The sequence below is a fragment of the Homo sapiens genome, chromosome 7, assembly GCF_000001405.40.
Source record: "Homo sapiens chromosome 7, GRCh38.p14 Primary Assembly".
Taxonomy (NCBI): Eukaryota; Metazoa; Chordata; class Mammalia; order Primates; family Hominidae; genus Homo; species Homo sapiens.
The window spans coordinates 142,532,533-142,545,990 of record NC_000007.14 but is presented as its reverse complement, the minus strand read 5'-3'; the positions used below and the strand labels follow the sequence as shown (position 1 = coordinate 142,545,990).

The 13,458-nt window shown below is 41.3% G+C and overlaps 2 gene segments (V, D, J or C) and 1 further gene, besides 6 other annotated features; all 3 read right to left on the bottom strand.

Moving 5' to 3' along the window:
- TRB (T cell receptor beta locus) overlaps positions 1-13,458 on the bottom strand; it is a 514,277-nt gene that overhangs the window by 267,297 nt on the left and 233,522 nt on the right.
- Positions 1,267-1,275: a recombination feature (RSS_nonamer).
- Positions 1,276-1,298: a recombination feature (RSS_spacer).
- Positions 1,299-1,305: a recombination feature (RSS_heptamer).
- On the bottom strand, positions 1,306-1,755 carry TRBV10-3 (T cell receptor beta variable 10-3). The segment is given in 2 exon segments: positions 1,306-1,600; positions 1,707-1,755. Coding segments are annotated over 2 exon segments (344 nt in total), but the record flags the coding sequence as incomplete, so codon positions are not given.
- Positions 9,661-9,669: a recombination feature (RSS_nonamer).
- Positions 9,670-9,692: a recombination feature (RSS_spacer).
- Positions 9,693-9,698: a recombination feature (RSS_heptamer).
- On the bottom strand, positions 9,699-10,182 carry TRBV13 (T cell receptor beta variable 13). The segment is given in 2 exon segments: positions 9,699-9,993; positions 10,104-10,182. Coding segments are annotated over 2 exon segments (374 nt in total), but the record flags the coding sequence as incomplete, so codon positions are not given.

Here is a 13,458-nt window from a genome sequence, read left to right as displayed (position 1 = left end):
AGCCTGGAACTGTAGGGGAGCCAAGGGACTTTTGTGAACATAAATGGTGTCATGCTGATTCTTCCTCATTTGCATGCATTCCTTATGCCTTTTCCAGGCTGTGGCTTGACTTTTCATTTTTTATCATGTGTTTCGATACATGATTAATACAACTAATGTCAGTTTGTTGTTGTTGTTTTATTTTTTGAGATGGAGTTTTGCTCTGTCACCCAGGCTGAAGTGCAGTGGTGCCATCTCGGCTCACTGCACCCTCCGCCTCCCAAGTTCAAGTGATTCTCGTGCCTCAGCTTCCAGAGTAGCTGAGATTACAGGCAAACGCCACTACCCCCGGCTAATTTATGTGTTTTTAGTAGAGACGAGGTTTTGCCATGTTGCCCAGGCTGGTCTTGAACTCCTGGGCTCAAGTGATCCACCCGCCTAGGCCTCCCAAAGTGCTGGAATTAAAGGTGTGAGCCACCATGCCCATCCAGTATTATTTTTTATGGCATGTGTTCTTTTGTGTTTCCACTAAAAAAGTCTTCACTCAAAGGATAAAAATATTTTCCTTAATTTCTTTTAGTGAAATTTAAGTTTTTCTGTTTATAGTTAAGAGTAAATGTACCTGAAATATACTTTCATGTAAGAAATGAAGTAGAGACTTAGGAATAAGAGGGAGGAACATATGTTCAGTGTAGAAGAAATAATTTGTAAAAACACACGTCCCCAGGGTGGGAAACAGCATAACACATATGAGGAAATAACTGAACATAAAGGAGCATGGCTGGAGCAGAGAGAGCCAGGGGAGACTTGTGCAAAATGATGATGGAGATGTAGGTGAAGAGCAAATGATAGAGGGCCCCATGAGGCTATTGGCCCATAGAAGAAAGGCAGCCAGGAACAGAGGTCAGGAGTGAAGGTTCATGACTATGAGTGGAAGGATAGTGGAGCGTGGGGAAAGGGGCAGATGAAGAAGTCACTGAAGCCCACAGGGGAGAGAAGGGAGTCCAGGCTTTGGGGTTAAGAGAATCATCGCTAACCTCAACTAATGATGCCTTTTCCTTTCTGCAAGCAGCAAAAGAGAGCTGCAGAAGAGAGACTTGGCAAGCTAAGTGTGTTGGGGTGACCTCCAGTTGGTCTGAGACTGGGGTAGGAATGGACGTCAGCACTGAGGGTCATAAGGCCCCTGCTCTATGGCTTCCAGGCTGGCCAGGGCCCTCTGACTTCTATGGAGGCCTGGACTTCCAAGGGTGGGGATAGACACAGAGCAACCTCAGTCTTTCTAACTGCTGTTTACGTGCAGAGAGGAGGCAGCCATGCAGCACTGTGGACTCACTGATGGCACAGAAGTACACAGATGTCTGGGAGCTGGTAGCGGACTCCAGAGTGAGGAGGAAATCCTCTGTCTTTGATCTAGAGACACTATAGCCATCTGAGACTTCTCCTTTGTCAGTATCTTTAACACCATATGAGTAATGGATCAGCCTCAGCCCATGCCCCGGGTCTTGTCGATACCAGTACATATAGCGGTGGTTCTCAGTCTGGTGACATCTCAGAGTCACTGGTGTTCCTGTCTCTGTGACCTTGTGTCTTGGGCTCTGGGTGATTCCAGCATCCATGTGTCCTGTAATAGAAAACAACAGACCCTGATGTTGTAATCCCAAGAAAAAGACTTGTATTGAGGCCTTGGGAATTCTAGGGAAGGAAGCCCACCTGTGACCAGCCCTCACCTGTCCACAGGAGACAAAGGGCCACATAGAAGAACAACCTTGTGCCCATTTCAGGTCCAGGCCAGGATCTCATCTCTCCCAGCCCTGCCTGGGGAAATAGAACTTAGGTTCTCAGTGACTCGATGACATCAGTGCCCCTGACAAATAGTTGAGCTGGAAAGTTAACCTGCCACACCCCTTACATTCTCCAAAAAAATAAATCAAATATATACATATATGTAATTTATGGTATATAAAACAATATTTTATAGGACATATATACAATTTAACAGCTCAGAATGGGAATAATTTGTAGACTATTTTTAAAGACATAAGTGCATATGCTCTTTGCAGGTTATTAGAAAGAAAATGCATTCCTCTCTGCATATTTTATTCCCATTAGGATACAATTCCTCATTTGTATGCTGTTTTAATTGTTTCTAATATTTATGTAGTCTAAGGGACATTCTCGTGGCAGTCTGGTGTCCTTTATAACTCATCTCCTCAAATTTGCCTCTAAGTACCTTTTACTAGATTTTATCTTTTCTCAAACTCTGGATAACTGGATGTCAGCCTACAGTGCTGGCCTCTGTTAAAAGAGCCACCTGACATCTGGGAAGGTTTCAAAAAGTCTTAAGGTCAGGATCAATACAATTTGTATATTGTTTTATGCTCTGTCACATTAGTTCACCTCACAGGAGCCTCCTCATCAGAGCTCAGACCTCTGTGTGTTCCCGCTGGTAGTTTGATGGTTAATTTTAGGTGTTAATCTGACTAGATTAAGGCATACCTGGATAGCTGGTACAGCAACACTTCTTGGTATGTCTGTGAGGGTATTTCTGGAGGAGACTGGCTTGTAAATTGATGAACTGTGTGGGAAAGATCTACTCTCAATGTGTATGGCAATATCCAGTCAGCTGGGGGCCTGGATGAAACAAAAAGGCACAGAAAGGGTGAATTTGCATTCTCTCTCAGAGATGAGACATGTGTCTTCTACTGCCCTTGGATATCAGAATTCTAGATTCTCCTACCTTTGGATTCCGGGACTTGCACTAGCAATCCCCTGGATTGTCAGGCTTTTGGTCTCAGGCTGAGAGACACAACATTGGCTTCTGTGGTCTGAGGGCTTCAAACTTGGACTGAGTCATGCTACTGGCTTTGCTTCATCTCCAGCTTGCAGATGGCTGGCATACTGGGGGACTTTTCAGCCTTCATAATCACGTGAGCCAATTTCCCTAATCTCTTTCCTTCTCTTCTCTTCCCTTCTCTTCTCTTCTCTTCTCTTCTCTTCTCTTCTCTTCTCTTCTCTTCTCTTCTCTTCTTTCTTTTTCTCTCTCTCTCTTCCCATATATATATATAGTGTGTGTGTGTATATATATATATATATATATATATATATATATATATATATATATAGGAGAGTATATATATATATACTATATATACAGGAGAGTGTATATATATATACTATATATATAGGAGAGTGTATATATATATACTATATATATAGGAGAGTGTATATATATATACTATATATATAGGAGAGTGTATATATATATACTATATATAGGAGAGTATATATATATATACTATATATATAGAGAGAGTGTATATATATATATATATACTATATATACAGGGAGAGTATATATATATATATATATATATATATATATATATATACCGTTTCTCCAGAGAAACAGAACCAATAGAATATATATATGCATATGTATATATATATACATTTTTTTGCTATGAGAATGCTCTGCTAGGCAACACCACATACTATGAAAATGCTTTAAAATGCAACAGGAAGAGATGTGAAGACACAAAGAACAAGTACATAGTGACACATGGCTATCAGAACACACTAAGTAATGATCCACACTGCTTCCACCCTTTACCCAGAAAGGGAAGGATCTAGGCCACCTCGTCCTCAGAGAGAAACAGAACCAACAGAATACATACATGTATGTACATATACACATATGTATGACTAATACAGATATGACTTCTCCTTTTGTTTTAGGGGAGGCCACCTGAGTCTCCATCACCTAATAGGAGTCTCATCATCAGAACTCAGACCTCTGTGTTCTCATGAGTTTTGTGATGGTTAATTTTAGGTGCCAACCTGACCAGGCTAGGGCATACCTAGGTAGCTGGTACAACAGCATTTCTTGGTCTATCTGTGAGGGTATTTCTGCAGGAGATTGGCTTGTGAGTGGATGGACTATGTGGGGAAAACCCACCCTCCTTTTTTTCTTTTGTGTAAAAATAAGAGGAAGCTCATTAGGGATGTATATGAGATATTTGCCCAGAAGTACACTAGCCTGGTGCCTTTAAGGTCATAGGGAAATGCCCTGTGTCCATTCAGAAGGTCTTATAAATACAAATGGGAGGATATTGATTGAACCATAAATGTGCTGTGGTGCAAAATTTACATCTAGTCAATAGTGGTACTACTGTTATTTCAGATACAGGACACATCTCAGTGTGAGGATCCCTTTTTGTGACTGCACATCTTGATGTAACCTGGGTGGGTAATTCCTACACTCATGCTCCAGTGAGAATGGATACAGAATCTGAAGTGGAGACAGGGAGGGGACCCATGAACACCCCGATGGAGAGGCTGTGGCTGGGGCCTGGAAAGCCCAGGAAGAGCTTTCCCATCTATGCCCAGAACTCCCCTGGTCCTGGGAGACCAAAAGGCACACGGAAAAAGAGATCATTGCCCATGGTTGAGTCAGGACAGGAAAGGAGAGCTTTCCATCTCAGGGCTCAGATTCTTTAGAGTAGGGCACATGGAATCCAAGAGCTCTGAGAATTGTTATCAAAATAAGGTGTGATCCATCAATAAATAAGGTGTGATCCACCAATAGAATTCTCAACAATACTCTGACTTCTCTGGGGAGATAAACATCTACCAGGAATATTTTCCTTGTATTTACATTTGTATTACTTGATCATTATTGATTTACAAATTTTCTTTTGTTGAAAACATACACCTTATTTTGCAGCTTTGCCTGTTTTCTGTGCTGATGTTTCTCAAGCACTTACATGGTGCCTACACACGGTAACTAGCTAGAAGTGGATTTGCCATGAAGTCAATGAAGAATAACTTCAGGCCTTCTCACTTGCACAGAATTTATTTATTTATTTTAATTTGAGATAGAGTCTCACTCTGTCACCCAGGCTGGAGTACAATGGCGTGATCTCTGCTCACTGCAACCTCCGCTTCCTGGGCTTAAGTGGTTCTCCTGCCTCAGTCTCCCAAGTAGCTGGGATTACAGGTGCCCACCACCATGCCTGGCTAATTTTTGTATTTTTAGTAGAGACAGGGTTTCACCATGTTGGCTAGGCTGATTTCGAACTCCTGACTTCAAATGATCCAACCACCTCGGCCTCCCAAAGTGCTGGGATTATAGGCATGAGCCACTGTGCCTGGCCTTGCACAGAATTTTTTCAAGACATTCTCATTTTGTATTCTCTTTTTCAAAGCGATCCCTAAAATTTTATAAGCCTCATGTTCCGCAAAACTTGGATCTACTCCGCACATACTCTTGTTAAATTTTTGTTGAATGACTGAAGAAAGAAATGAATGGTTCTCTGAGTCCATGCAGACCCTGAAGCTGTGAAACATAAACTTAGTCTATTCAGTTACAAATAAGCTCAGAGCCTTAACTGAGCAGAGACCCATGTGAGTCTGTTGGAAACTCAGACTGAGTCAAAATGAACTTGGAAGAGATAGTTCACATATCATTATAGGACTTCTGAATGAATGCATGGCAGTGTAACTAAAAGAAAACCACGGCCTTTTTCAAAGAGAAGTGTCTTAGAGGGTCATCTCATTCTATCACTGTCAAAGTTTTAAGCTGCCCCTGAAGGCAAAGTTTGAGACATGGACTTTGGTGAAAGTAGTTTATTTTGGAAAGGATCTCAGGAATTAGGAATAAGAGAGATGGGAGAATAAAATAGGGAGAGAGGAAACCAGGATAAAGGTACAATATTGAGTTTGTGCTGGAGCAACAGGAGATGGAATCCATCAGGATTGCTCTGAATTCACAACTTTCTGGGAGCATCACACCTTGCATATCAGACTCAGTATCAAGCAGGAAATGCTGTAAGGTACAACATTTTCACTTTCTCTTAAGACACAACTGTTTGTGTTACTTTTGCCAATGAATTATCAGACTACTATATTTGCATTTTAGATGACTTTGTGTCTGAATCATAGGTGAATCAGACAAAAGTAATTCGTGTATGCCTTTGTTACCAGATTGCCAAAGTAAATAACTGCTTGACTAGAGATTTGTCAGAAAATTCATAGGGACCTAAGACTTATTGAGCCTATACTATGTATTAGACTCTGTTTTATTTACATGTATAAAATCTCTGTAAGACATATATGATTGGCCTCAGTTTAGCCAAATGTTTTCAAAGTCACTGACCCAAGGGATCAGAAGATGAACTACTGAGGTCTCCTCATCTCTGAGGATCTTCCTCTTTAGCGTGCAGCCTCCCACATGAAAGATGTTATTCAAATGGTTTGTGTCAGATGCATTGTTTCTAAAAGAGACATTTAGATTTCCAATGTTGAAGGTATCTTCCTCTACCAAAATGTATAGGGTGGAGTAACTTCAAGCATAGGTTGAAAGTCAGTATGGCCTAGGTGTGAGTCCAAGTTCTATATTTGTTAGCTGTACCTCCTTTAGAAAATCTAAATTCTCTAACAGTTTTTTACCTGTAATATGGGAGTAAATTGTTCTCCCTTTTGAAGTTCTTAAGAAATTAATTGAAATAATGTACTTGGTATACGGCCCAGAGAAAATGGGATTAACGATGTTGCTTGTTATTAGCAATCAACAAGGCAATTTTCTCTAAGTTCACATAAAAGATGTAGAATTAAGTTGGTCTCTGTCCACCGTGTACTTGCACATGCATCTGCAAATGGCACATCATACACTTGGTAGCTGCTGTGCTGGCTGTTCTACATGCACACCCAAAGTTCCCCACAACCGACTCTCGCCTGCCTGCCCCTTACTGCCCTGGACTGTGCCCCTGAAGACTGATGTCAGCAAACGGTGCTATCCAGGCTTTCAGCTGGGCTTTCCAATGGAAGACACCAGCTGGACATTGAAGGGTAGTGAAGAGAAAGTTCAGCATATCTGGGCTTCCCCTTCCTAGCTCTGGTCCTGAATTCCTTCCTTTGGGAAACTTTTCTCATTACTTGCATGCACCTCCAGTAACACAGAATTTCCCTCCCACCCCTTTTTCCATAGGCCCCACAGTTAGTTGTACTGGCTTCCCAATGTGCTGGAAACCCCTGGTCCCTCAAACACTTCTTGGTGTCCCTAAGTCTGTTTACCCCTCTAAACATAGTCCTTCGATTAAATTGTTTTCACTTCAGCCTTTTTGACTGTGTCATCTGTTCCTTGCCAGAAAACTGACTGATTGAAATGACTTTCATACATTGTAAATGCATGTGTGAATAATTAGGGATATATTATTTTGCCAGACTTTAGACTTCTTAAAGACAGAATGTGTAATTTGAAAAATTACATCTCATTTTCTGTATTCCAAGGAAATTTTTAACATAATAGGTATTCCAGGAATATCTACTGAATAAATTAACAAGTAAACAACAACTAAATGACAACAGCAAAGCTATATATATAAAATAAATTTTCATGAACAATTTGACAGAAAATATAAAATTTATTCTCCTGCTTTCCATTTCTCTGCTGCATAGCTGGGTGTGCTGATGATTGTCTTTTGGCACTGAGTACCCTTAAATGTCCTCCAACAATCTCTCTCTCTCTCTTATTGCAAGAGCTAGAAGACTTGAAAGTACATTTCCCAGTCCAGGCATGGTGGCTCACACCTGTAATCCCAGCACTTTGGGAGGCTGAGATGGGTGGATCATGAGGTCAGGAGATCGAGACCATCCTGGCTAACATGGTGAAACCCCGTCTCTACTAAAAATACAAAAAAAATTAGCTGGGCTTAGTGGCGGGTGCCTGTAGTCCCAGCTACTCGGGAGGCTGAGGCAGGAGAATGGCATGAACCCAGGAGGTGGAGCTTCCAGTGAGCCGAGATCGCGCCACTGCATTCCAGCCTGGGCGACTGAGCGAGACTCCATCTCAAAAAAAAAAAAAAAAAAGAAAAAAAAGAAAAAGACATTTCCTAGATTCTCCTGAGAGCAAGTTTCTGAAAACAGTTTTGTTTCCCCCAGTAAGCTATACTTGTGGAAAAGTTAGAAGCAGAATAAAGACTTTTATCTGACAGCAACAGACAGGTGGATTTGCAATGACCTCTGGATACTTTCCTGTGAATCACCCTCTTGGTCACTGCAAGACCACTATGACTCTCAGCTATTTCCAGCAGTCCCTGACCTGGGCAAAAGTAGCAACTTCAGTCTTTGTGATCACTAGTGGTGGACCTGAGCGCAAGTTTCAACCTTCTGAGACCCTCCCACTTTTCAGCCTTCCAGTGGTTTATAACCACCAATTCCCTGTATTAACTCCTATTCTCCTTGGAATTCCTAGAGGATTCTGTTTCCTTGACTGAACCCTGTGATGTATTAGAAATGCCCCTTGTCACTATATGTCTATATTAGGACATATTGTGGCCCCATTCTATATGGAACTAAAACAGGACAAATATTCTCTGGCTGGAAGTTATATGTCCTGGAGGTTGGCAGGCCATAAGCCATAGTAACCACATTCCATAATATGTGACCTTCTTCTACTGCTTGGCTAGTCTTGAGATGGAAGAATAGTGCTCTGCTGTAGCTCATTGACCAAGGCCCAGGAAACACTATAGAATTTTAGAAATTTTATTTTGGAGGCATGGAGTCGTAGGTTTGGATCCTGCCTTTGATCCTTGGAAATATGAAATACTGGAGAAGTTCATGAGCCACAGCTTCCTATCTATAAAATGGTACACTGAAATCTTCTACATGTATAAAGTGGATATGCTAATGTCTATCTTTGCATTAAAACACATAAACTCAGGAGGATCATTTGAGGAGTTTGAGACTAATCTGGACAACATGACAAGGCCTCATCTCTACAAAAATAAAAATTAAAAAAAATTAGCCAGGCAAGGGGACACATCACCTTGTAGGAACTGAGGAACTGGGGACACACCTTGTAGTGATGTGTCCCTGTAGTCATAGCTACTCAGGCCGCTGAGGCAGGAGGATTGCTTGAACCCACGCGCTCAAGGTTGCAATGAGCCATGATCACAGCACCACTGCACTTCAGCCTGGGTGACAGAGTGAGACCCTGTCTCAAAAAAGAAAAAAAAAAAAAACCCGCAATGTGTACTGCTATGATTTGACTGTGTTCCTAAATAATTTATATATTGAAAACTTGGTTCCCAATGCAGCAGCGTTGAGAGGTAGGACCTTTGGAAGGTGACTGGATCTTAAGGACTCTGCCCTCATAAAGGTTAATCCATTCATGGATTAATGGGTTATAGAAGGAATTAGTTAGTTATGAGGTTGGGTCTGTTATAAAAGCCAGTTTGACCATCTTTCATGAGCCCCCTCATATGTAATGCCCTATGCCACCTGGGGACTCTGCAGAGTCCTCACCAGCAAGAAGGTCCTCACTAGATGTGGGTCCTTGACCTTGGACTTCCCAGCCTCCAGAGCTGTAAGAAACAAATTTCATTTCTTTATAAAATACCCAGTCTCAGGTATTCTGTATGGCAACAGGAAACACACTAAAACATATACCCCTATGTTGGCACAGAGTAGAAGCTCCCGCCACTTGCTAGGAATTAAAAAGTACTGGCTAAGATGTGAGAACTTCCAGTGGGTCTGGAGCCCACAAGTGCAGGAGCTCTCACTGAGCTCAGCAGGGCAGGGGAAAATGTTAGAAAAGAATAGAAGCATCTCTGGGGCTTGGCTAAAGTTGTGTGGCAGCCCCCACCTCCTTCTCCCTATTACATCCTCAAGTGAGATAGGAGGGTTTGGGTACAGAAAGCCAGTAATTCTCCAGGGCTGTGCCTAAGCTGCTGGCACAGAAGTACAGGGCTGAGTCCCCCAGCTCCAAGGAGCTCATGTTCAGTTCAGAATGATAGTCACTGAACTGTTGAGCTGAGAATCGATCAGGGATGCTTCCTTTATCGCTCTGCATCTTTTCATAAAACGAAATGAGGAACTGGGGGTCCTGACCTGGACCCTGCTGGTACCAGTAGACAGTGTCGTGTCTAGGGATAGGATAGCATTTCAGAGTGGCTGTTTCCCTCTTTTCTTTGATCAGATGTCTTGGGGACTGGATGACTCCAGCAGCCACTGAACCTGTGGAGGAAGGAGACAGAAGCTGAAGACTCAGCTCGGGAGAGTTTGACACTTCAGCAACAATTGAACACTGTGGATACAGGGATGTCCCACCTGTACTCAGGACTCACCTGCTCCCAGGAGACAAAGCATGACACGGCAGAGGAGCCTGGTGTTCCAGGCAGAGTCAGGCAGGTCAGGACTAAGCATCTCCCTGCTCAGGTTGCTGGTCTCCTGGGGTGAGAAAGCAGGGCTTTTGCTCCTCCTCACCGTTTTTGGAGGTTTTTACTGTGATGTCACTGTTCTGATGTCATCGTCCTGTAGGCTCCCATAGGCACCCTGTACTCCAGGACTAGCTCAGCTAACTCAGGCTTTCCCCCATCCTGTCCAGCTTCCTGCAGAGCAGGGGAAGCTAGCTGTGCTGAGCGAGAGGGGGCAGGCTTCCGGGCAGACAGCCATCCGCACAGCTTCTGAGATTTTCATCTGAGGCAGATGCTCCTTTATCTCCACCTGGCTTGGGTTATCCAGGCTGCCCTGCTGAAACCCTCATCACACTCCCCATCAAACCTAGGTTGCTAGAGAGGCCACACAAGGCTTCAGTTCATGGCTTCCTGTCATGACAAATACATGTTGCATATCAGTTGATCTGATAAGACTATGATTAACTCTTCCTGTGCCAGCAGTACCTCTGGTTCATCTGGTAATATCCCTGATACAGAGACGAAATCAAGACTGTCTCCCTTAACCCTCTCTCTCTCAGACAGCGCTATCAGTGACCCACTCAGTGGATCCACAGTGCCCCCAAGTGGCCAGTGTGTAGTCACTATGAGGAAGCTCTAAGGACCCTGACTAGGGAGACTGGGTGCTTCCTAAATTAGACCCTCAGGATCTCTCAGGACACAGCACAGCTCTTGCTGATTTCAGGTTTACCTGCCTCAAACTCAAATTTTGCACAGGTTGGTGAGGGAGACATAAAGCAAATGTCTTTTTAAACAAGAAAGAAAAATTTTTCATTTTAATTTAAATTTTAAATTTCATCAAATAATGGTGTAGGAAGGGAGATATCAGCCAGTCATTAAATGCCAGCTGCCATAGGAATGGGGTGAGACCTGGGCAAAGCATTCCCTTTAACCAAAGATAATTCCTGGAGGCAGCTGACAGTGACATGCTATCAGTGAAACAATCATCTAAGCTGGAGAAATAAACACATTAGTCTCATGAAAAGAAACTGCCTACTTATATATCTTTTTTTTTTAATTCTCTAGTCAACTTTTTGTTTTTAGTGAATTGCCTTCTTTATGATTGATGTGTAGGAATTCTTTATAATATGAATCCAGCCCTTTCTCAGATATACATTTATTTTTTCGTAATGTATTTTGAAGAACTTTTTGGGATTTGCATAAAGAACAATTTGCTTTTTTTATGGTTAGAACATTCTTTTGTCCTTAAGAAATCTTTGCCTACCCCATGATCATGAAGAGAGCTTGCTATGTTTTCTTCCAGAAGCTTTCAGTTTCTAGTTTTTCGATTATCTGGGATTTTTTTGTGTCTCTTACTAAATTTTGTTTATGGGAAGGGTCAGCAGTTTTCCTGTAAAGGGTGAAATAATAAATTTTTTAGTTTTGTGCATCATGCAGTATTTGTCTCGACTACTCAATTCTGTCATTGTAGTGCAAAAGCAACCATTGACAATATATACACGAATGACTGTGGCCATGATCCAATAGAACTTCATTTATGTTTACTGAAATTTGAATATCTTAGATTTTTATATGTAACAAAATACTTTTTACTTTTTTTCAATCATTTAAAAGTGTAAAATTTTTGTTAGTTTCTGGGCTGTATGAAAACAGACAAAGGCCAAATTTGGCCCGGAGGCCATAGTTTGCCCACATCTGGTTATGGAGTGAGATAAGGCTAGAGATTCATTATTTTTCCATATTATCCCATTTTTCTAGAACCATTTGCTGAAAAGGCTATTTTATCCTCTTTTTGCTGTTTTTAGTATTTGATCTGGGAATTACATATGCATCTTTGACTTATCAGTTTGCTTGCAAAAATATTCTATTTAACCATAGGATGTCATAAATGTCCTTTTTTAGGTGAAGAAAATTTCTTGTTACTCTTGAGTTTGATAACAGTTTTCTTCAAGAAAGGATATGGAATTTTATCAAATGCTTAAGTTATCTATAGATATGATCATATACTTTTCATATTTTTCATACAGATAAGGTAAATGACATAGTCTGTTTTTTGAATGTCAGACCAACAATGCATTACTGAGATAAACCCTACTTGACCATGTTGTACTATCCCTCTTACATATTGTCAGATTCTCTAGGCTGTAATGGTAAAAGGATCATTGAATCTGTGTTCCTGAGAGATATTAGTCAGCAGCTTTCTTGGAATCTCTTAGTCTCGTTTTGGTATCAGAGTAGTTCTGGCCTCAGAATGAATAGAAAATTATCCCCTGTTCTTCAGTTTCCCCTCAGTCCTGCTTTGGCAGCATCATACCAACTTTGATATATTTTTATATTTGTTCAGTTTAAAATAATTTCTTTTCTGTTGAACATTCTCAAACATTTTATGCATATATAGCAATTTCCTTGAAATAAATTCATTAAATAAAAAACACTCTGGGTCAAGGAGTGTTAGCAGTATTAACTCTTTTGATGTATGCTGCTAAATTACTCATCAAAAACGGTTTTACAATTTACTCTCCCCCCAAAAAAGAAAGATTTGGGCCAGGCGTGGTGGCTTATGCCTGTAACCCCAGCACTTTGGGAGGCCGAGGCAGGTGGATCACCTGAGGTCAGGAGTTCGAGACCAGGCTGCCCAACATGATGAAACCCCGTCACTGCTAAAAATATAAAAACTAGCTGAGCATGGTGGTGGGCACCTGTAATCCTAGCTATTTGGGAGGCTGAGGCAGGAGAATTGCTTGAACCCAGGAGACGGAGGTTGCAGTGAGCCAACACCATGCCACTGCACCCCAGCCTCAGTGACAGATTGAGACTCCGTCTTAAAAAAAAAATAAAAAAGAAAGGTCTTACTTATCTTCATTCTCACCAGTATTTGGTCAAAAAGAAAAAAAAAATGACCAAAATATACTATTAAAATAATTGTAAATTATCTTTTATCTTTTGATTTATTTTTTGCTTTATGAGTTATTTAGACAACTATTATCTAATTTTGAAATATTCGGGACTTTTCCAGAAATCTTTCTCTTACTGATTTTTAATGAAGTTTCACTGTGACCAGCGAGTGCACTTGGTTTGACTTGAATACTTTTAATGCATGGATGCTTGTTTTATGGCCCAGTGTACGTAGTCCATGCTGGCACACAATCAGTGCGCACTCCAAGAGAACATGTATTCTGCTGCTGTTGGATGAAGTGTTCTGTAAACGTCAATTAAGTCAAGTTGGTTGTTGGTGTAGTTCATATCTTCTGTATCCTTAGTTGTCTTTTGTTTTTGTCAACTTGTT